This window comes from Homo sapiens, chromosome 1 (genome assembly GCF_000001405.40).
Source record: "Homo sapiens chromosome 1, GRCh38.p14 Primary Assembly".
Classification (NCBI taxonomy): domain Eukaryota; kingdom Metazoa; phylum Chordata; class Mammalia; order Primates; family Hominidae; genus Homo; species Homo sapiens.
Genome location: NC_000001.11, coordinates 94,598,467 through 94,622,095, shown reverse-complemented (window position 1 = coordinate 94,622,095; position 23,629 = coordinate 94,598,467). Strand labels below are relative to the sequence as shown.

Sequence of the window (23,629 nt, the reverse complement as noted above, 5' to 3'; positions counted from 1 at the left end):
GGAATGAATGCCTCCCCATCTCCAGAATCAGGACCAGGATATCCAGGACTCCTTTCAATGCTGTTTCTACAAGCCTCACCTTAGACATTGCTGTCATGATGTAATAATATTTGACCATAGTATTTATTGTATGTGGCAGGGAACCAAGAGGATGTTGAAAAATCCTGGTTGGATCTGAACTTGGAAACAAATTTGAGGAATCTATTTTACTTAATCCTACTGAAAAATTCCCTAATGAGTTAAAGAAGAACAAAGTAAAAGAAGATAAAAAAGCAGTTGGTACTTGAAATGAAGATCAAATCATCAAGTCCTATATGTCACCCACAGATCTGAGATCACTGACTCCCAGAGACACCCAGTTTCTCAGTGTCAGTACACACTGCCTGGGTTAGTAAGCACAGGCTGAGACCTGGGAGGAATTGATGAACCAAATGTGTCTGGGCTTTTCACTTCCTCGGCATGAGTCAGCCAAGAAAGCCCACCTCTCCTCCCCAGCAGCGTGCAGGGCCTCTGCAGATAAATGTGCAGGATAGCAGACCTGGGTGTGGTGCTGCCTGGCACTGAGCCAGCCCCCAGATTCTTTGGCTGCAGAGTGGCCTGGCCAACTCACACAGGTAGCGCCCTTTTATTCTTGGAAAAGGAAGCACCAGGTGGAAAGGGAGGTTAAAGGAGGGAACACAACTTTTTTCCAGACCCCTCTGCCCAGGATGTTAAAGGTTGCTGGAAAATGCCTTTGGTGGCTTTAAATGTCACAGATGACATATTCCAGGATGGATCCAGCCTCCACTGGACTTGGCCCCTCTATTTTGATTCCTGCCTTTCCCCAGCCTCAGCCCTGAGCGGCATAATATCTACACGGGGTTAGCTGCAGGTGGAACTCAGAACACAGCTCCTAGACAAGTAGAGTGAGGCCTATGGCTTCATCATCAAAATGTAAAATTTAAATATATAAATGAATAAAGGCTAGATAGACACATAAATATACATACACACATACATTTTGTCTGGTGCCAGGACCAAGGCCTTATTACAGCTCAGAGCTCCACTTTGAGCACTTGAGGGCAGGAGGGGCTCCGAGCTTCTCTCCCCTCAATGCTGCCGCAGGGTTCCTAAGCAAGGACCCACATGTGGAGGCTCCTGATCCCTGAACTGAAAGTCGACTCTCCAGTGCAACAGGTAAACTTGTTTGAGAACGTGGGACATAACGACGTCTAAACTATTGCTTCTTGGCAGCATTGGATGATTAGGTCCTCGCTAAGGCTTGCCAAGGCCTGTCCTAGGAAATGTTCCTGGGCTTGATTTCATCCTCACTGTTGAGAGAGTTTATTCCTTATAAGGTCCATCTCAATTCTCAGGGCACCGCAAGACAACGTATCTCCCCTCTCCTGTGCAATCAGTCAAAGAACATTTAGTCAACCTGAACTGGGAGCACAGCGCTCCTGGGGCTGTTGGGCATTCAAAAGAGGTAAGATGTTGTGAATCTACCAGGCATCTGCACCCTTGTTGGGGAACCAATCCATATACAGCAGCAACTGTTAAGTGGTGGCACCTGCTGGCTGTAGCACTTAATAGGTAGGTGTGCATGGAGTCAGACTGCCAGGTACACAGACCAGCTCTACCACTCACAGTAGTTGTGATCTTGGGCAAAACACAAAACCTCCCTGAGCCTCTCAGTTTCTCACCCACTAGTACCACCTCACTAAGCATGTTAGGAGGAGTCAATGTGATAGCCTATGCAAAGTGCCTGGAATAGTGCCTGGCACACAAGAGGTATTCAATACCTGCCAGCTGTTGTTGTTTTTCTGCAAATGAAGTGTAAACCCCTTGAGGACAGAGATGAGTGTCCATAGCTGTTATCTGCCACAGAGCCTTCCTTCCACATAACATATGCTCGAGGGTTTGCTGACCTACTTTGAAGAAAGGGGCAACACGAGGGGAATATAGTTTTATTGTGTAGGGTAATTTCCTCCAGGAAAGAAAAAAACAGTGAATCTGTGAAACTTGGTACAGATTGTTAAAAAAAAACTCACTTTGTAAAATAAAAGTATTTTCAACTGCAAGTATCCCTATTTTTAAATAGTTAACCAAGATTTGCATACCTGTGGTTTATTCTGGAATGTTTAGACAGGTATAACAGATAAAATCTGAAATAAGCAAAATAAGCCAAATATAATCAAGAGAAATCTGCCACAAACGTGTAGCTTGCTTGGATGAACATTACAATGGGTTTTTAAGGGAGCATGCAGAATGAAACTTTCAGAAAATAGACCTTCTCCCTTGGTCCACATTGTCAATCACTGACAAGGCTTAACTCTAGGCAGACAAAATGTTCTCCACAGGCTGGTCCCCTGCCTGTCCTGCATGTGCATCTGGGGCTGTTGCATAGTGGTGCCGGGTGGGGCATGACTGACAGGCATGTGATCTATGTCACTCCACCCCAGCCCAATGGCCAGACTGACCGCTGTTGCGGGAAGTCAGGGACCCCAAATGGAGGGACCAGCTGAAGCCATGACAGAAGAACATGGATTGTGAAGATTTTATGGACATTTATTAGTTCCCCAAATTAATACTTTTGTAATTTCTTATGCCTGTCTTTACTGCAATCTCTAAACATAAATTGTAAAGATTTCATGGAGACTTATCACTTCCCCAGTCAATACCCCTGTGATTTCCTATGCCTGTCTTTACTTTAATCTCTTAATCTTGTCAGCCGAGGAGGATGTGTATCACCTCAGGACCCTGTAATAATTGCATTAACTGCACAAATTGTACAGCATGTGTGTTTGTGCAATATGAAATCTGAGCACCTTGAAAAAAGAACAGGATAACAGCAATGTTCAGGGAATAAGAGAGATAACCTTAAACTCTGACCACCGGTGAGCCGGGCAGAACAGAGCCATATTTCTCTTCTTTCAAAAGCAAATGAGAGAAATATCACTGAATTCTCTTTCTCAGCATGGAACATCCCTGAGAAAGAGAATGCACACCTAGGGGTAGGTCTCTGAACTGGCCCCCCCAGGGCGTACCTGTCTCTTAATGTCAAGTCTGCAGAGGTGAAATAGACTCCAGTCTCCCATAGCGCTCCCAGGCTTATTAGGAAGAGGAAATTCCCGCCTAATAAATTTTGGTCAGAACAGTTGATCTCAAAACCCTGTCTCCTGATAAGATGTTATCAATGACAATGGTGCCCGAAACTTCATTAGCAATTTTAATTTCACCTCAGTCTTATGGTCCTGTGATCTCCCCCTGCCTCCACTTGCCTTGTGATATTCTATTACCCTGTTAAGTACTTGATGTCTGTCACCCACACCTATTTGCACACTCCCTCCCCTTTTGAAAATCCCTAATAAAAACTTCCCTAATAAAAACTGGCTGGTTTTGTGGCATCACGGATCCTACCAACGTGTGATGTCCCCCGTGGATGCCCAGCTTTAAAATTTCTCTCTTTTGTACTTTGTCCCTTTATTTCTCAAGCCAGCAGATGCTTAGGAAAACAGAAAAGAACCTATGTGATTTTCGGGGCGGGTTCCCTGAAAGACCGCCACCATGGACAGCTCAGCCAGGGCCATCTTCTGCTCTGACATTCCCTCATGCCCTGCCTTGCTGTTGTATCATGGAAAAGGGTGGGATGAAGGTTTAGGAGGTGACCTGCATTCATGTCCCAACCCTGCCACTTTTAGCTATATGAACTTGGTTGACTCACGCTCTCTGAGTCTCACTCAAAAAAGACCCTATATGTGTAGATTTATAGATGGGGATGGTCCAGATGGTGTGAGTGGTCAGCTCCGGCTCTAAATCCTGGCATTTTCTGGGATGTGGATGAGTATGGCGAGAGGCAGGCAGCCCAGCTGCTGGCAGCACGTGGCTAGTGGATGCCGGTGCCTCGAGCTCTCTCAGAGACCACATCCAGGTTCCCTGTATACCAGCCCCAGGATGTACACACACCATAGTACCACCCCTAAATGTAGATGGCAAATATTTATTTGAAGTGTTACCAGAAAGGGATCCTAATTTAGACCCCAAGAGAGGACTCTTGGACCTTGGGCAAGAAAGAATTCGGGGCATTTCCACAAAGTGAAAGCAAGTTTATTAGAAAAGTAAAGGAATAAAGAATGGCTACTCCATAGGCAGAGTAGCAGCACGGGCTGCTCCACTGAGTATACTTATAGTTATTTCTTGATTATATGCAACAAAGTGTGGATTATTCATGAGTTTTCCGGGAAAGAGGTGGGCAATTCTTGAAACTGAGGGTTCCTCTCCCTTTTAGACCAAATAGGGTAACTTCCTGATGTTGCCATGTCATTTGTAAACTTCATGGCACTGGTGGGAGTGTCTTTTAGCATGCTAATGTATTATAATCAGCGTATAATGAGCAGTGAAGATGAGCAGAGGTCACTTTCATTGCCATCTTGGTTTTGGCAGATTTTGGCCAGCTTCCTTACCACATCCTGCTTAATCAGCAAGGTCTTCGTGACCTGTATCTTGTGCCGACCTCCTATCCCATTCTGTGACTAAGAATGCCTAATGCCTAACCACTTGGGAATGCAGCCCAGTAGGTCTCAGCCTTATTTTACCCAGCCCCTATTCAAGATGGAGTCACTCTCATTTGAACACCTTTGACAGAATCACATAATCATATAACATATGCTGAGGACCTTTTGCAGAACAAGAGGGACTGAGGGCTGTGCTATGAGGGCTACAAAAGATGTGCACATCCAGACCCTTGCCCTCAGGAAAGTGTCCAATGCCAGCTGTGTCTGCAACAGGCTGTGAGGACTTGGGCACACTACAACCTCTCTAAGCCTATTTCCTCATCTGTGAAGCAAGGATAATAAAACTTATCTTACTCGTTATAAAAATCAGAGGTAATACGCATAAAGCTTGTTGGATTGTTTTTAGGATCGGATTATTGTTAAGAAATAGATATTATATGTTAAACTCCTAGCATAGTGCCTAGCAACTGGTAGGCATTGAATAAATGGTAATTACTATTGTTACTAATATGCTATTGTCATTATTTTTAGTGTGGATCAGTGTTAAAAGTGCTTCATGGAGAAATGGAGGCCTGAAAGCGACTCTGAAGGAGGAGTGGGGCTCAGCAAACAGCAGACGAGTTTCAATCCAAGCACCCATTACCCCCCTAACACACGGCATACGTGCATCTCATCTCCTCCTGTGTCGCTAAGAAGCTACCCATATGTCTGTCATTAATTCTCCAGAATCCTTGGACACACCCCTCTGCAGAGCTTTCTAACAGGAAATACAAGTCTCAGATTTTTTTTTAAGTTAAAATTGAGTGCAGCACTCATACCTTTCTTCGAGCATGAACCGTCAATCAACACTGCCTCATGAGCTACTGCTCTCCTGCTCTTTGAAAAGACAAATCCTTATTTCTTTGTAGTGATCCAGAAGGCAGTGGGAAGAATGACAGGTGCTTGGTTATCTTCAATTTAATCTCTACCTTTCAATGGGGCTAGTGCAAGCTAGGGCCATTTTACTGCACCCAAAGGAATTTAAGACATTTCTATTATCTCTAAAGAATCCAGATTAACATGCCTTCTTGGTGGGCAGGGAGACCAGCTATGAATTCTAGGATCTCAATTCAAATGCTTTTGAATTCTTCCTGCTTGTTCAGTTAATTACATATATGTCACCACAATCTTGCTTTTTTTTTTCTATGCTTCTAATTTTCTCTGAAACTATAACATTATTTTAGGGGTTAATAAATTTGTAATTGGAAAAAATGTTTTTACTTCTTTAGGCTCATCTTTCCTCCCTTCCTTCTTCCCCTCCCCAACAAAACCTTTATTTTCTCAAGTGTCCATTCTTTCTGTAGGAAAAACCATCATCATAATTACAATATGTTAAGTGACTACTATATGCCAGGAATTAGCTCAATTCTTCACTTATTTTATTTTACATAATCCTTTCCAAAACCCCCTGTCATAAGTAATATTATTATTCCTACTATATAGCTGAGACTCCTGAGGATAAGAGAGGTCAAGTAATTTGTCCACTGCATTAGGTGGGTAGAGCTAGGACTTTAATCCAGAACACCAATGACTGTTCTCTTCTTCACCATTACACTACTTTTTTCAAATTTCTAGAGACCTTCATGAATTCTTTGCATTTTGTTTTTTGGTAGTATAAATATTGATATTCCCAAAGGCCAAGTAACTGCTCTTAATAAACAATTGCAGCCAAGCGTGGTAGCTCATGCCTGTAATCCCAGTACTTTGGGAGGCTGAGGCGGGTGGATCACAAGGTCAGGAGTTCGAGACCAGCCTGGCCAATATGGTGAAAGCCCGTCTCTACCAAAAAATACAAAAATTAGCCAGGTGTGGTGGTGCACACCTGTAGTCCCAGGTACTCGGAAGGCTGAGGCAGGAGAATTGCTGGAACCTGGGAGGCGGAGGTTGCAATGAGCCAAGAGGATGCCACTGCTGTCCAGCCTGGGCGACAGAGTGAGACTCCGTCTCAAATTAATTAATTAATTAATTAATTAATTAAAAAATAAAAATAAACAATGACTTCCATGGAAGCAGTTATAAGCTGCCTTGAAGCAACTGCCCACAGTGGTTTTCTGACCTAGGTGAACTTGAAAATGGAATGATCAGCTATTGGCTGCACGGTTTTGTTCTTTTCAGAAACAAGGGAAAGGACAATGTGACTTTGCAAATATTTAGGGTACTACAACTTAATATTCTTAGCATAGCAGAACAGTGCTGGGAATCCCTGGGTCTTCTACTGAAATCCCCCTAAAAATTCCTTAAAATATTTTCCCTCAAAAAAAATAAAACTCAGCTCTGAAAGTTTACATGTGTTGACTGCCCCAGACAACAGGAAGTGAAACGACTTAGTTGGAAGGAGGCAGGGTCAGGGTGGAGGTGCTGCTGAGTGTGGGAAGTCTGGAGTGCGGAGAAGGCGCCCAGAGAGACTTCCTGGTGAGCTCTTCAGAGGAAGGAGCAAGTGCAAAGGCGATTGCAGAAGCCAAGGGATCATCTTTTCCTCAACATGCACAGCCAGAAGAAGAATCTCAGAAGCTGCATGTGCTCTAAAGAAGAACTGCTGCTCTCTGGGTCTCTTGGGCTCCACACTGCTTCCTAAGTTTCTGAACTTCTGGAACTTTTCCTTCTCAGTGAATAACTCAAAGCCTTAATTCTAATGCAGCAGGTTTAAAGCACTTGCATGTGATTTGATAGGAAAGTCTGGGGTGGATAGTGGTCATGAACAACAATATCCCAAAGTATTTGTTATTTCTGCCTGGCAATTATAAAGGATGAAAGTAGCATGGTCATGGCAGAAATAGATGGTGGGTTAAGGTTAGATCAAGTTAGATCTCAGGTGTTGGCAGTTTCCTAAGCCTTTGAGGTTCCCATAGCTAACATCTTCAGAACCAAAGGGGCAATCTTCTACTGGTTACTGACTAAGAAGAGAAAGCGGAATCTCTTAGAGGGTATTTGGTAATGTAGGGTTAACCATGGTGTCACGGTTATCGCAATGATTGGGGAGTGTTGCAAACATCTAGTGAAGAGGGCAGGGATATTAAATGTCCCACAGTGATGGAACACTTCTGTGCTGTGAAGAACCACTCCATCTCAAACGTCAGCAGCACCCCTGGGCAGGTCCCTGCCCTCAGTGGTGCTTGACTCTGGACTAGGTCCAGAGATGTGCACAGCCAATCTGAGCTTTATTTTCAGGAGACTTTGCTGAAAAAGGACTGATGACGTCACCAGCATCATCCTCAACAAGTGTCTGTGACAGCCTGTGACGTGGAAGGCAGGGTGCTGCCTAATGAAAGGCCGCGAAATGCTTTGAGAATCAAATAGACTCTAATACAACTCCCAGTCTGTTACAATATCCAGGATGCTTGCACTTAACTTAGAAATGTAATGTATCCTCTTGCCTCTTTTTTCTCTCTTATTCTATGTAAACAAGGGTTTGCTCTATGAAGCCAGAAAAAACAAAATTCTTACATACAAGTTTCCATTAGCAGTTCTATATCAGTATCTATCTTCTCATACGATATGCTTTCAAGACTACAGACTTCTCAAAATAATCAAAAGACTGTAGTGTACACTAAAGGTTGACAAGGCTCTGATCTAAAATAATATTTTGGTCTTGTCATTTGGAGGGCGTTTTGTGATGTTTTGACCCTAAATTTCACATATACTAAAGTACACAGAAAAAATATTTAATTCTTAGACATTCTGAAATTATTTTAAAAACTCAAACTATTTATTATGGTCAAACATGCCAACGGTAACTTGCCCTAAACACATTTTCTTCAACTGCAAAAGAAATGAATAAATTATGGAAGAACAGCAGATTTTATAATCTTAAGAGTCTGCATTTTCTGAATATTGATGTATACGTATATACCTAAAGACACCCTATTCTATGTTTCAGAGTGAATTCTTATGCTGTGAGTTCTACCTTGAACAGCACTAGTGCTAAGTAGGATAAGAGCTATGCAGATCTCTCTGCTAACTCCTCCTGCCCAACCCCAAATGTCTGTTCCATGGCTCAGTTCCATTCCTCTGCATTTCTTTCCTTGCATATGTTACAGGAAAGGGGTCCCGATCCAGATCCCAAGAGAGGGTTCTTGGATCTCACGCAAGAAAGAATTCAGGGTGAGTCCGCAGTGCAAAATGAAAGCAAGTTTATTACAAAAGCAAAGGAATAAAAGAATGGCTACTCCATAGACAGAGCAGCCCCAAGGGCTGCTGGTTGCCCATTTTTATGGTTATTTTTTGATGATATGCTAAACAAGGGGTGGATTATTTATGCCTCCCCTTTTTAGACCATATAGGGTACCTTCCTGATGTTGCCATGGCATTTGCAAACTGTCATGGCGCTGGTGGGAGTGCAGCAGTGAGGACGACCAGAGGTCACTCTCGTCGCCATTTTGGTTTCGGTGGGTTTTGGCCGGCTCGTTTACTGTGACCTGTTTTAACAGCAAGGTCTTTATGACTTCTATTTTGCGCTGACCTCCTATCTCATCCTGTGACTTAGAATGCCTTAACCATCTGAGAATGCAGCCCAGTAGTTTTCAGCCTCATTTTACCCAGCTCTTATTTAAGATGGAGTTGCTCTGGTTCACATGACTCTAACACATAGACTCCTGAAACTTGACCTTTCACCTCTCACTTTTATCTAGGTTGCCTAAAACTGCATTTTCATTTCTGACCTCTCACCAAATGCCTAGAGTCACATTTAATATTGCCTAATGTGCATTGCACATGCAGGTCCTGTCTCCCTTCCAACAGTGTCCCCAAACACCACCTCTCCCCTCTTCTTCCTAATTCTTTCAGTTTCTCTGGCTCTCTGACACCCTTTCAAATGAGAGAAAAATTGAGAAGGCAGGGAAAGTGAAAGTGGATTTCAACTTTAGCTCATAATGCCTTGTGTTATCAGCAACCCACTCCACCACCCTATGACAAAATAAGAAACATCTCTGGGACTGGCTGCTTCTTGTATCCCCAGAATCCACAACTCATAAATGGCCAAGAAGGTTGGGAAAGATGAAACTATAAACTAAAAATAAAATCCTAAGTTCCCCAACTGACGGAATGGACTCCCTCTTGTCCAAGGAGGCCTCAGAAAATGTTAAAAACTGAGCCTTGACAGGAGATCAGATACGCCTCATTATGCCCCCTCCCTTTTATGGGTTAGAAAGAACTGAGCAGCATTAATGTTAAAATTGAGCTCATAAGACTGACAGAACAGACTCTTTGTGGCAATAAAATACTAAATTATAAACAGGACCTAGAGCCATGCCAGACAAGGGTTGAGTCACTCACCTCTACACCTAAAGAATAAACTGTGTTCTCTGCCACAAGGTTTACCTTTTTCTCTAGCAGTTAAACAAGCACTGGCCTCGAGATAAGCAATAGTAAAACAATTTGCAGCCACTGCCATGCACTAACTGACCCCCTGTTCCACAAGCCATCACTACAGCTTTGATTGGACAAGAGACTGATTTCAGTAACTTTCTCCTGATAAGAAGACCACCAACCATTGACTGACTCTGGCCAGTTTACAGAGGATGCACATTTGAGTGCCTTTGCATCCTAAAAAGACCTTTGACATTAAAGGCCTAATTGTAACACATTTAAATGTTAAGTCTTCACCCCTAGGTGAACACGGGTTGTATGTTACATGCATGCTTGTTCAATATGCATGCGTCAGGACCGCCTTCATGAATATTCATGGCTCCTCTTATAACCTGTTGAATATGTGTACTTGGCCAACCCATTCAGCTTAAATTCCTGTCCAAACCTTCCTCCTTCAAAGTGCCTGTCTTCGGTCTTTGCCAGAGGCTACACTTCCCAGCCTGCAGATGGCCACCTTGCAGGCTGTAACCGTTTATAAGAAACAAAGTGTCCTTTCCAAATTTATATATTTGTGAAGAAAAACAGTGATCTCAACCAAATTTCCCTTGCCAGTAGAGAGCAATAATTTGAATAATATAAAACAAAGTGACAGAAATTCAACTCTAACCAGCTTAAACAAAGGCAAATTTTCTTAGTTTAATGAGCTAAGAAGTCCAGGAGAGACTGGACTTTGAGCACTGCTGTATTTGGGTGCCAGACAATGTCATCGGGGACCTGTCTCCTCCCTCTCTTTAGCTCAGCTCTCCTCTGGATTTACCTCCATTCTCAGACCAGCTCTCCCCAAGTTAGGCAAAGACAGCGACCAGCACTTCCTGCCAGCTTTGCACCACCACCAGGAGGAAAGCTCCAATGTCTTATTGTTTCTGCAAAAGGTCGGGAGCTGATGCTCATTTCCTTTGTTGGTCAACATGGCCATGCTCACCCCTAAACCAATCAGAGATCAGTGCCCTCATTGGTCGGGTTTGGGTCTAGACTCCTAGAGCCAGTCACTGGGGTCAGCCCTAGGCAAATCACATGGACTGAGGATGGAGGAAGAGTGATCCTCTAAGGGCAGTGATCTGTTGGTGCCATAAGAAAAAGAAGTGGATGCTGGGCTGGTAAAAATATGGTGAGCAGGTGCTCACCATAATCCCTAATAATGATATCTATAGGATTGTGGTAAGAAATAAATAATATGGATTCAAGAAGTTTGAAAACCATAATGCAATTTTATCTAAAAGGTGTTTTATTATTCAGCAGATAATTCTACTTTTCCACAGAAAAACTTAGATAGATTGGGCCAGGCATGGTGGCTCACACCTGTAATCCCAGCACTTTGGGAGGCTGAGGTGGGCAGATCACGAGGTCAGGAATTTGAGACCAGCCTGGCCAACATGGTGAAACTTTGTCTCTACTAAAAATACAAAAAAAAAAAAAAAAATTTAGCCCGACGTGGTGGCACGCGCTTGTAGTCCCAGCTGTTGCAGAGGCTGAGGCAGGAAAATCGCTTGAACCTGGGAGGTGGAGATTGCAGTGAGCCAAGATCGCACCACTGCACTCCAGCCTGGGCAACAGAGTGAGACTCCCTCTCAAAAAAAAAAAAACAAAAAAACAAAAACACAACTTAGATAGATTGCGTTGATGCTATAACCAAAAGCAATAGCCATTGCCTGTGCTGCTGGTTGGTCCAGCAGACTCCAGTGGCAGAGGAGGGCATCCTGGTTTTGTGGTAGGAAGAACCTTGGCTTTGAAGTCCTGCAAATGTGGCTTCTGGTCCCGATTGCATTTTCTATTGGCTGTGTGAACTTGCACATGCCACTTAGCCGTACTTCCTTCAACTGAAATGAGAGTAAATCACACTTTCTTGACACCTCATTTCTAGGTGGATTAAGAAGTCATGTGCAAAGCACCCATGATGCCTGGCAGAGCAGGTGAATGGTTAACAAATATTAGAGATATTAGCCCCTTTTCACTCCCGTGCCTCCAGGACTCATTTTATTACTTTATTACAATTGAAATTTCAATAACTTAAGGCATCTTAATACTGAAATGTGGAACCTGGATAATCCTATTTTTTAAAATAAAGAAACAGAAGTAAATCGAGTTGATCATTGCTGAGTTGCCATTTAAATATTTCCTAAATATACTAATTGGTGGGGGAGGGAGATCCGAATGTGGAACTGGGGCCTTTGCCCTAAATATCCATTAACCCAGGCCATGAACTATGGCTTCAAATGTTGTTGGTATCTCTGACATAGACACACCAACTCTAACAGCACACAGACCAGACCTAGAGAGCAGGTGTGGGGTTATAAAATTATCTTCCCAAGGTGCAAAAACTGCAGTTTTTAAGACAAACCTGAGTCAGCAATGGGAGTGAAATGTGAGCAAGGAGACCGTCAGCGATAAGGAAGGGGTGACTAAACGAACCGGCCTTCCTGGGGGGATTTGGTTTTTGGTGTGTATTTTGGGCAAGGTTAGATGGGAGCAAGGACAGGAGTCAACAAGACTGTAAGATGAGAGCTCGCCTCCTGAAGGAACTTGGGAGATGCCCCGTGCGCACCCCCACACCCCTTTCTGCTAATCGCTTCCTTCCACCCTCAAATCCCTTTTTGCTCCAAGAATCATCCTCTGGGAGGAACATTTACTCAGTTTACTCATTTCTGCCACCTCACCCGCCACATTTATAAATGAGCCAGGGCTCAGGAAAGTATGCGTTCCCTCCCCTGCCTCCCCAGAGTTATAGAACCACAAAGAGCCACCTTAGGAGGCCGTACGATGCTCCCAGCATTTCCCAGGAAGTTTCAGGCCCCTCTGTTTATAAAAGCAGTAACTAAAGGAATGCCAAGTGCTCTTCAGCTTTGTGTCAGTATAAACAAGTTTCACACTGGATGGATCGCCATCAGCCTGGAGTTTCCACAACCAGCACGAAGTCACCACCTTCTGTTTTCTGCTCTCAGCTCAACCTGGCCACCCACCTCCCACTGTGTCTCAGAGCTGTACTTTCCTGTGGGCAACTTTCTGAGCCTGCAGAGGAAAAGGCATCAGCCATACTGCAGGGTTTATTCATTAAGATTTTCAGACAATTTCCTACTATCTCAATCAATTCAGCGGATAGCTATTAAGAAACCAGAGGGAGAGTTCACTCCAGATACACTGAGATGCAGTCTCCACATGAAGAAACTTAGATCAGGCCTGCAGCTCCAGGACACAACTGCTTATGCGCCTCTGTGCAGCCACACCTGGCTGCCCAGCTCATCAGCTCTAACTCTGTGTTCTGAGGAAATCTCCATTCACCGAGTCCTGCACCTTAACTCAGTTCGATGATGGGATGAGAAGGACACAGTGTGGGGCCTTGATAAGAGAGGAGGCCCCTCAGGCAAGCTTGGGCCACAGTGGCCGAAAGAGCCTTGCAGTTACCAGCAGAACACTGCAACTCACTGACCCTCACTTCTTGCTTTCCTGTCTGCAGTCGAAGCCCTGATCCCTGCTTCATCATTCACACACAGACCACGTGTCTCGAAGTTCCAAAGTTAGCAATGGCCGGTCCTTTCCAGACCCATTGGTTTACACAGCCTACACCCCAAATTCTACCTGTCTTTGTTCTCTGTTTCCTGTAAGACTGTGTGTGGGCCTCACCTCCTTGGCTAACTAGACTGGAAGCTCCTGAAAGGCAGGGGCCTCTCACCCGGGTTCTTTTTTCCTTCTCAGCACTCAGCAATCTGCTTGGAGCAAGGCTTATAGATCACTTTGTTGATTGTTACCAAAACATGGACTTGGCCAGTTCTGGGTAAATCTTTAACTTTCAAGGAGCCTGTGAGCAGACGAATGTCCGAAGGTGCTAAAGTTGTATGACTCAACAGATACAAACACAGATGGGGTTGGGTCATTCCTTATTCCACAGCTGGTGCTCTGTCACCTGGGTCCATATCCTCCCGATAAACAACCTGGCTGAAAAGTAAGAGCTGAAGGGCTAAGAGGGAACTGCAGGCCCAAGGCCCAAGGAGGAGACGGGGGAAAACAAGAAGGGAGGGATTAAGAAAGAGATCCACAAAGAGGAAGGGGGAGAGGCAGGCAGAGAGAGATTAGAGCAAAAGAGACAGACAGGAACACAGAGAAAGAGGGAGAGAAACAATGGAGAGCAAGAAAGGTCAGAGGTGCCGAGGGAGGGTGGTAGAAAGCTCAGGCGGTCTGGGATCAGGTCACCAAGCCATGATTTGTCCTAATAATTGAGCACCTGCTACATGCCAGGAGTTGTGCTAGGCCCTGGACATGCAGTGGTCAAGAAGGCAAGCCCATTCCTCAAGGAGTTTATATTCTAATGGAGGACTGATGATAAATAATATGCAATAAGATGTGTTGAAGAAAAATAAAGCAGAGGCCAAGGATGTTGGGAGTCAACGTCCTGTAATCCTAGCACTTTGGGAGGACAAGACGGGTGAATTACTTGGGCCCAAGAGTTCAAGATCATCCTGGGCAACATAGCGAGACCCTGTCTCTATGAAAATTAAAAAAAAAAAAAGTATTAGCCAGGCATGGTGGTACGTGCCTGTAGTTCCAGCTACTCAGGAGGCTGAGGTGGGAGGATCACCTGAGCCTGAGGCTTCAATGAGTCATGATCACAAAACTGCACTCCAGCCTGGCTGATAGAGCAAGACCTTGTCTCGAAACAAAACAAAGCAAAATAAAGCAAGGTGGAAGTCTACTCTCAAGTAGAAGCAGAATTTCACTTAGAAGATTTGACTCCTCATCCAGTGCTCATGTGAAAGACCAAATGCACCAGACCATCAAGGAGATGGTTTTATTCAGGGTATTGCAATAGGGAGAATGTTCATGAAAGGAGAATGTCTCAAAGAAAAGGAAGGGGCCCCGGGGCTTTACACAGGCAGGTGAACAAAGGAATCTCACAGGAATCTCTAGAAAGGATGGAGGCAGGTCTTACTTGAAATATTGGAGGGCAGGATGGTCCTTTGAGATTTTGCCATGGAACACAAAAGGATGGGGGTGTTTTGGAAAACAAAAAGGTAGGGGATTTCTTAAGCTCAGGTAAAGTTTAACCTGTCCCTAATATCCTGCCACCTCCATTTTTCTAAACACTAAGTATGGTCACTTTGTTGTGCTCATTTGCTTCTTACCAGCACCGTAACATGGAGTTCCTTCAGGCAGCACACAAGCCCTTTGTGATCTGATTTCTATCTGTTCCCAATTAGCTGAGGTAGGGAAGCACACAGAGAACACACGAGAGGATCTTGTAGGCCAGAACACCCAGTGTCTCTGCACACCTCCCATTGGCCAGAATGCAGTCTCGTAGCATCCTCAACTGAAAGGGAGGCTGGGAGGTATCACCTAGCTATTTGACCAGGAAGGAGGAAATGGATGTTAGTGGTCACAGCTAGCCAGCTTTGTTGCATGTGCTGTTCCCTCTCTCTTTAGAAATGTCCCTCTGCTTCCTTCCTCGCCTTTCTCTGATTAGAGGGCGCCGGTGCACCCTTCAGGTCATCTAAGTGTGTCTTCCTTTAGGAAATCTTTCTTGACCACCAGTGTGGTCAGTACTCCTTGAACGCCTCTGTAGCACCCAGAATATTTTATAGCACTAACCATATGACTCACATTGTTCACTTTCTCATCAGTCCCCTACATGACACCTTGAGGTCCCTGACATTAGAAGCTGTGCCTTTTGTCTTTCTGTACTCAATGCCTAGTGCTGTTTGGCATTGGATTGTAGGTGATCAATAATGTCTGTCAAATAAATGAATGGCTCCTGGATGGCTTCTAAATGGCCAGGATCTCCAGATGTGCTCCAGAAGGATAATTTCAACCAAGAAGAAGACACAGAAGTTTCCACAGTCACCCTAATAGCTTTCGTTTGCCATCTGGGCCTGGGTCAGTTATCACACTGGGACCCCAGGAAGAAGCTTAGTGTTGTGGATGTTAGAGATGCAAAGAGAGCTCAGGTGCCTTATTTTGAGCTCAGCCCACTAACCGTCTTTACAGCTTGATTAGCCTTTAGAGAGAAAACAGAACTTTGGCCTCAACTTCCTGGCAGGTAAGGAAAGAGATTAGCAGATGCCCATTGTGTGAACCCGGCTAAGACTACAGCCAACTCGGAAGCAAGGCGATGGGCTGGAATGGCTCCTATCCACATGGTATTTTGGTAAGTTAAGAAAAGTTACATAGTGACACACTCTGGTACAGCTTCTGTGATCCCCACATTGCTCTCAGCCAGTTTGAGTCAGGACCAAAGACAGTAAAATCTTATTAACACAGGAGAGAAAGACTGAGTCATTTCCGTAATGACTGCCTCACAGCAGGAATCATTACCAAGCCTGAGAGCGAGAAAATGGCGCTCTCTTTTTATGTGGAATTGTTGGCTGGAGTCTCGCCTTTATGACTTTTGAAGAAGGAATTATATGGTTCATACATCCAAGAACAAATAAAACAGGGTTGCCGGCCGGGCTCGGTGGCTCACGCCTGTAATCCCAGCACTTTGGGAGGCCGAGGCGGGTGGATCACGAGGTCAGGAGATCAAGACCATCCTGGCTAACATGAGAAACCCTGTCTCTGCTAAAAATACAAAAAAAATTAGCCGAGTGTGGTGGTGGGCACCTGTAGTCCCAGCTACTCGGGAGGCTGAGGCAGGAGAATAGCATGAACCCAGGAGGCGGAGCTTGCAGTGAGCCGAGATCGCGCCACTGCACTCCAGCCTGGGTGACAGAGCGAGACTCTGTCTCAGGAAAAAAAAAAAAAAAAAAGCAGGGACGCTACCTCATGGTGTGTGAGTAGTCAGACAGCAATGATACCAGGACCTGGCATCAGTGGGGCAGAGCAGAGCGGGGTGGTGTTGAGGAGGGCCTGGGAGGAGTTGGGTATCTGCAGCTCTTGGGCCTGCCGAGGTCCCCTTGCCACCTCCAGTATTTGTGTTTGAGGTTCATTAGGGCCAAGCGGGTCAGGAAAAGGAATAGAACATAAATTTCATAGCTTTACATGGTTGACTTGGGCTCTGTAAGTGGTAAACCCAATGAAATAAAGGTGAATCATGCCTTTTGAATCCTATGTCTTTATTTAGGTTCCGGTGCTTCTCTTCCTGGTTGGGCTGGTTCTTATCCAGGCCTTTTGAGGGCCATGGAGGGTGTCTGAGGGCACAACAACAGGCCTCCTTTAGGGACACTATGGCCTCAGGACCTTAATTCCCAAATGCTTCTGTTCTCTTTAGCTCTCCTCACAAGAGGGGAAAACTGCTGCTATCTCTCTTCTGTGGAGTTGTAGGTATGTGCCTGCATTAAGCAGAAACATTGAGCTGCTCAGATGATGATGACGATGATAGCTAACGGTCATTGAAACTTACAATGTACTAGGCACTAAGTTAGGGTATTTACATGCAAGATCCTGTTTAAATCTCATAATCACTCTATAAAATATGTACTACATCCACTCATTGTTTTAGGTGGAAAACATCCTGGTGGGGAAGATTCTGAGAAATTCAGCTCCAAAATAGAATCATACTAAGAAACCCACCTAGAAGTCCTGGCAAGGATGTGCTTCTGAATTCCATCATCATTAGTGGTTGTGCCCTGGGAACCAGCACAAGCTCTTTCTTCAAATTTCATTTCAAATTTTATCACTTTTCAACACCCCCACTGTAACGACTTTAATCCACTTACCATCATCTCTCACCTCAGCTACGAATAATAACAGATATTTTTGAGATATTCTTGGGTACCAGGCATTGTTCTACACACTTTACATGTGTGTTATGCCTTAATCTTCATGGTAACACAACAAGGTAGGACTCATGATGGAGACCGCTGCATTGCACAGCTCTGAGTGGCACTGTGCACGCTGCACTCGTCGGACTCCAGGGGGAGATTCTGGAGTTGTACAATGTGGTAACCCTATTACATCTCCATTTTATAGATGAGAGAAGTGAAGTGCAGGTGAGTTATTTAACTTGTCCATGCTCATGCTGCTCATCAATGGCAGACATGCTTCAAACCCTGGCAGTCTGGCCCTGGAGGCTTCCCCACTGTGTTATACTGCCTCTCCGTCCCTATACTAGCCCCCTGGTTGGGGCCTCTGCTCTTGCTCTTCTGTATTCTCCAGTGGCTAAAGTGATCCTTTTAAAGCACATAAACAATATAAGGACTCAAAACTCTCCAATAGCTTCCCATCAATCCTGGAATACAATCTGAACAAACTTCATAGCATGCCCCATGAGGCCCTATGTGATCTTCTCCTCACCCCATGCCTCCAGGCTCCTGTGTGACAACCTTCTCCCAGCTCACTATATTTTTGTTTTCCTGAGACCATACCCTTCTGATCTTTTTGTTTTCCTGAGACCATGCCAAGCTTGTGCTCACCTCAGGGCCTTTGCACATGCTGTTTCCTGTGCCCCTGCCTCATCCTCTGCCTGGATCCTCTCATGGGCCACCTCCTCACCTCATTCAGGACTCTGCCCAAATGCCACTTTCTCCAGAGAGGCTTTCTTGATGTATCCATGTAAAATAGCCTCCAACTCACTTCCACCATTCTCCATCCCTTTAGCCTTCTTTGTCTTTCTTTGTAGCGCTTAATAGTACTCAAGGTTATACTATGGATTGATTAATGTATTGGTGTATTAACCCTTGGATGTAAACAGGGACTTTTTCATCCTCAACACTGAGTCTTCAGGGCTGGAAGACAGACTGGTACAAGTTGGAGTTCAATAAATACTGGTTGAGTAAGTGAATAAGCAAAGCTCCTGGAGAGCAGGGCCACCTCTGCCCCAGTCCAGGGGACACAGTCAGTTCTCAGTAAGCACCAAGAAAGCAGGTGAGGATGGGAAAAGGAGAAGGAAGACAGGGAGAAGAAGAAAAGCACTATTCAGATTTCAACTTGACAATACTTATTTAGTGTTTCTTTGGTGCTAAACAAAGTGACACATATCTCATTTAATTCTCACATCCTGTGAAGTAGGTAATTTTAGCAAGAAAGGAGAAATATAAGGATGGTAGGCAGAAATGTGTTTGCATTAATTCCTTGATGCAGTCTTTACTTACGACAGAAAAAAGGCTATCATTAAAGATATGGACTTTGAATTGCTTATCTTTATGCAACTAAGCCACAAGAATTTTGTGTTTATTTTTTATGATTCAAAAGCATTAATCTTACAAGCTGTATAATTTGTATTTACTTTTGCTATATCTTCAAGATAAAGGATTCATTCTACCATCCACTGCTCCCCCAATCCAGCTTTTAAAAATCCCCCATGTAGTGATTCAGTTCATGGAACACCTGTGAGTTCCCTCTACAAATTGCTGCGTCAGTTTTTCTGCGGAAGGAGTCTTTCTAAGGATGTGTCCAAACTAAAATACCATTTTATAATAGCATTAAAACAGCATTTTAATCACTTGATCATTTTAATCACACAGCTTGCAAGACTCAAAATCTTCATAGTGTCCTCATCTGAAATTTTGGGGGCCCCTAAAACAATTTTTTTTGAAGTTGTCTCTCCTTATTAAAAGAAAGTACTCTTCAGTGGGTTAAGCTCCTCCTCATCTAACAAGGCATAAGCTGGTTGTTCTGTGGTTAAACCTGAGTTTACACAATAAGGATGTGGCTACTACCACAGGGTTGTGCAAAACAGGGGAATCTTACGACGTCTCGGCTTTGGGCAGGGTCCCAGTTTATGTGACAAACCCCAATCCAACGGCTCCCTATACCACTGGGCCAGCTGGCCAACCTGACTGGTCCCTCCAGTCCTCCCTCTGCGTACCAGCAGGACCTCATAAATTCAGGTTGGGGTTAGAATTAGGATTAGCGGTCACCCTCTTGTAGCTCAGACCCACTCGGTGCTGAAGCAGCTCCACGGGCTGCTTTCCAGAAGTGTCGAGGCTCTTAAAGGGCTAGTAATACTCAAATAATAACATGCGCCTAGCCAGAGACATTTAACCCCTGAAAAGTGTCAAGGATAATGGAAATGATAAACCCATGTCACTTCTGAGAGATATTTTGGGGGCTCATTTCTTTCTTTGTGTCCTGATGAAAGGAAAGGCAATTTGCATATTCTGCTGAACCCTGATTCTCAACCACCACAGTGTTCTGGACACTAAGTTGCATAATAGGAAATTTAGGGGAGACGCTTTCCCCTTAGAGCCTTCCTGCTGCATCTGCCACAGTTATCCCTTCAATAAACAGCCCCTCTCCATGTTATTTAAAACTCAGAAGTGCTCTCAACAACTCACTCCTGATCAATTATATGCCTAAGGTGAAGTTGGGCATGAGCAGGTATTTTGTAGTGAAATGAACTACCATTTGTATAACACATTGTATTTATGATACAGCTTCATTCTCAGCCCTGGGCTGGGTATTATTATGACCATTTTTGTTAGCGGGCAAACCCAGGTATAGAGGGGCTGATAACTTGTCCAAGATCATACAAGGAGAAGAGAAAGAAATGGAACTTGAATTCTGATCTTTGGACTTCACATTACAAGCAAGCAAGGCTAATCAAAGCAAGCCTAAACAAACCCAACTGTCACTCGGATGGAGATCCTCTAATGCCAACACCAGACAGAAATACCACATTCTTGCCCAGGAAAATATACTGGGGGTACTTATGGCTAACAGAATTATAGGATGATGACAAATGGGTCCGCTGAAGACAGGGGTAAACACCCAACAAGTTTTGGTAGCCTCAGAGGGCAGTGCATCAGAATGATCTGATAACTGGCTTTCATACAAATGCTCTTAAATCAGCAGGGCAAATGGGATCTGATACTGCATTCTTGTTTCACAAGGCAGTGGGTTAGCTGGAGATTTGGGAAACTCTTACATCAAAAAATGATTAACACAAACATTAAGACCCTCAAGAGATATGATTTAAATACTGGAATATTTTATTTCTCTGAAATGCCTCATCCCCTGATGATCCCTGACAAATCAGATGCTACTATATAGATCTGCTGATCTCTCAGATCTAAGTTTCAGCACAATGTTCAAAGTTGCAGCTTTAAACAATGACAAAAAAATTACAGTTAAACTTCTCACAACCCTATATTGTTTCAGTCTAGGAAATGAAAATAAAGTCTGCTTTTACCCAGTGAGCCTCTAAAATTCCCAAATCCTTGGTAACAGATGAAGTAACTGACATAACTTGCTGCTTTCATGTGCATAAAACATCATTTTATTTTTTTCAGTCTCCCATGCACCAGGTTTTCAGTGAGTACCAAAAAACTAAACATATTTTCCAGAGTAAAATGTAGCATATTCCCAATTCTTAAGGCTCCTCGGAGGATTAAATGCTATTTAATGGACAGGAGAACTTGTTCTGATAAGTTTCTCAGACACTGCAACAGTGTAGGTGGAAGTGGCAGAGAACATGAGGGATGCAGTTGTCCACCACCCCGGGTCACCCTCTCAATCTCCTCCTTTCCTCCAGGAGAGGAGGCTGGCTTTCCAGGTGCCCTGGGCTTGGGCAGAGGAAGCTCTTGTCCCTCCCTGCTCAGTGCCCTGCTCAGCTACCATTCAGGTGAGGCTGCCCTGCTCCTGGGGAGTCAGGCTAAGTCTAACCCACAGAGAGAGAAGCTGTATCTGGACAAGTCTCTAGAGCCTCCTCCCCAGTGACCTTGGCTAGTGACAACCTATTCAGATGGGAACAGAACTATGCTCATTCCACACTTTGAGCTTTTCCCATGGAAATTTGTCATCATCTAACTATAGAATGTCTGTAAATGGAAAACTGAAAATGCCGATAATAAGCCCTCTCTATTGTGACTTGTGTTGGTGTTTGGCCCTCTTAGAGAATGTCTGCTGCTTTATATTAAAAAAAATATGTATATATATATATATATATATATGACAGAAAGGGAAGCCTATTATGTTACCCCCTTTCAAAATTTTTTGATGACTTTCTCCTTTCTACATAATAAAGCCTGGGGTTCTTATTCTAGCATGTACAGCCTGCTGCGAGCTACTTCAAACTACTTTCCCAGTTTTTTCTCTCATCTCATTCCACCCCATCTCCATGCCCATGTCCATTCTAAAAACATGCACATACACACTACACACACACACCACACAGCCTCCATAAACTCCAATGGTTCTACGTTAATTACTTTTTCTCAGGCCCTTTCTGCTCTTCTTTTCTTTCTTTGGGGTGCCCTTTGACCATTTCCCCAAGTTACTCTAATCACTATTCCAACTGCTCCTCCAAGCCAAGCTCAAATGCCTTCTGTTTCCTGAATGTTCCCCCAACCCCCTAGGCTGATTGCCCACCTCACTTTACCTTTTCCGGGGCCTTGCCGTAGAGTTATCTGTGTACACATCTATGATCCTGAAAGTAGGACCCTGTCCACTCAAGTCTGTATTGCCTCGGGCCTATCTGGGGTCTTGCATAAAGTAGATGCTCACTAAATATTAGCTGAACCACAAATCCACCACTCTCAAAGAGAAACTGAGGTCAGGGACCTGGAAAGAAATAAAAATGGCTCTACTTTTTACTCCTCCTGATGATTTCAACACTGACTTTGAAATTTTTCCTCTCCGCTCCGGCTTGCAGGCTGCAACAGGCTTCAGTACCAGTGACCACTGGCTAAAGCCAGGTGGCAGTGAAGATTCAGGCAGTTAGCTGAGTCCTCCAGGCTCCTGGCAAAGTAACTGGAATTGCAGGAGAGCCAGCCGGGAACCCTACAGCCACCTCCCAAATTTGAGGGTGGACATTATGCTAAGCTCCCACCCTTCCGGCCCCCCACCCTGTCCTTACTACTTGCCTCTGGGGTATGCAGTGTCTTCTGCAGACAGGGCACAACTGAGAAACTCTGGGCACGCTATTTCACACCAAAAGCAGAAATTGCTGGTTGTTTGGTCCCAAAGCCATTCTTTACTTCCTTCGTATCAGAAGCCCGGATTTTTAGTGGGGTAAATGACCTCCCACAATAAACACTACATTTCCCAACCTCCCTTGCAACTAGGTCTAGCCATGTGACTAAGTTTTAGCTGATGAGTTATAAGTGAAAGCAATGTATTCGACTTTCAGGAGGTGTTCTTGAAAAAAGCGAGTGCACTCTTTTTTTGTTCCTTCTTCTTGCCTGCTGGCTGGAACATGGAGGGGATTGCGGGAATCAGACCATAAAGTAGAAGCTAAAGGCCGGGCACGGTGGCTCACACTTGTAATCCCAGCACTTTGGGAGGCTGAGGCTGGCAGATCATGAGGTCAGGAGATCAAGACCATCCTAACCAACATGGTGAAATCTCGTCTCTACTAAAAATACAAAAAAATTAACTAGGCATGGTGGTGTGCGCCTGTAGTACTAGCTACTCGGAAGGCTGAGGCAGGAGAATCACTTGAACCTGACAGGCGGAGGTTGTGGTGAGCCGAGATCGTGCCACTGCACGTGCCACGTGCCACTGCAGCCTGGCGACAGAGCACGACCCTGTCTCAAAAAAAGAAAAAAAAAAGGTAGACGCTAAGGCTGAGAGCAACAAGACAAAAAGGGCTCATGTCCTTCCACTACATAAAATTGTATAAGCTCTGAATTGTCTATTGACAAACTTCTTTCATATGAAAGGGAAATATAGTTCTATCCTATTTTAGTCATTATTACTTTAGGTTTTTCTGCCATAGGCATCCAAACCTAAACCAAAAAGAAACATTCCTGAGCTCTGATTTCTTTCTATGAAATTTCCAATGTCATGGAGTTACTCCAAACGTTAAATGAAAAATCTCTTTACAAAGACTCCTAAAATTATAGCTTGACACACAGGTGTGGTGGCTCAAT

At 44.3% G+C, this 23,629-nt stretch overlaps 2 long non-coding RNA genes across 3 annotated transcripts in view, besides 3 other annotated features; one reads left to right on the top strand and one right to left on the bottom strand.

Moving 5' to 3' along the window:
* Positions 1–5,744, top strand: part of SLC44A3-AS1 (SLC44A3 antisense RNA 1) — a 203,881-nt gene extending 198,137 nt beyond the window's left edge. For both annotated transcript variants that reach the window (NR_160780.1, NR_160779.1), the window contains exon 6: positions 5,025–5,744. This is a non-coding gene — a long non-coding RNA (SLC44A3 antisense RNA 1). The remainder of the gene's footprint in view (positions 1–5,024) is intronic.
* LOC105378861 (uncharacterized) overlaps positions 1–23,629 on the bottom strand; it is a 73,963-nt gene that overhangs the window by 14,970 nt on the left and 35,364 nt on the right. The gene's annotated exons all lie outside the window — the stretch shown is intronic.
* Positions 12,585–13,085: an enhancer, noted in NCBI's record as "H3K4me1 hESC enhancer chr1:95074567-95075067 (GRCh37/hg19 assembly coordinates)". NCBI's record gives its function as "activates a minimal SCP1, AML or CMV promoter by ChIP-STARR-seq in naive H9 embryonic stem cells {active_cell/tissue: H9 hESC(naive)}" and the evidence as "EXISTENCE:reporter gene assay evidence [ECO:0000049][PMID:30033119]".
* Positions 13,086–13,586: an enhancer, noted in NCBI's record as "H3K4me1 hESC enhancer chr1:95074066-95074566 (GRCh37/hg19 assembly coordinates)". NCBI's record gives its function as "activates a minimal SCP1, AML or CMV promoter by ChIP-STARR-seq in naive H9 embryonic stem cells {active_cell/tissue: H9 hESC(naive)}" and the evidence as "EXISTENCE:reporter gene assay evidence [ECO:0000049][PMID:30033119]".
* Positions 15,502–16,701: an enhancer, noted in NCBI's record as "P300/CBP strongly-dependent group 1 enhancer chr1:95070951-95072150 (GRCh37/hg19 assembly coordinates)". NCBI's record gives its function as "activates an origin of replication core promoter dependent on BRD2, BRD4, P300/CBP, MED14 and CDK7 cofactors, with strong dependence on P300/CBP, by STARR-seq in HCT116 cells {active_cell/tissue: HCT116}" and the evidence as "EXISTENCE:reporter gene assay evidence [ECO:0000049][PMID:35650434]".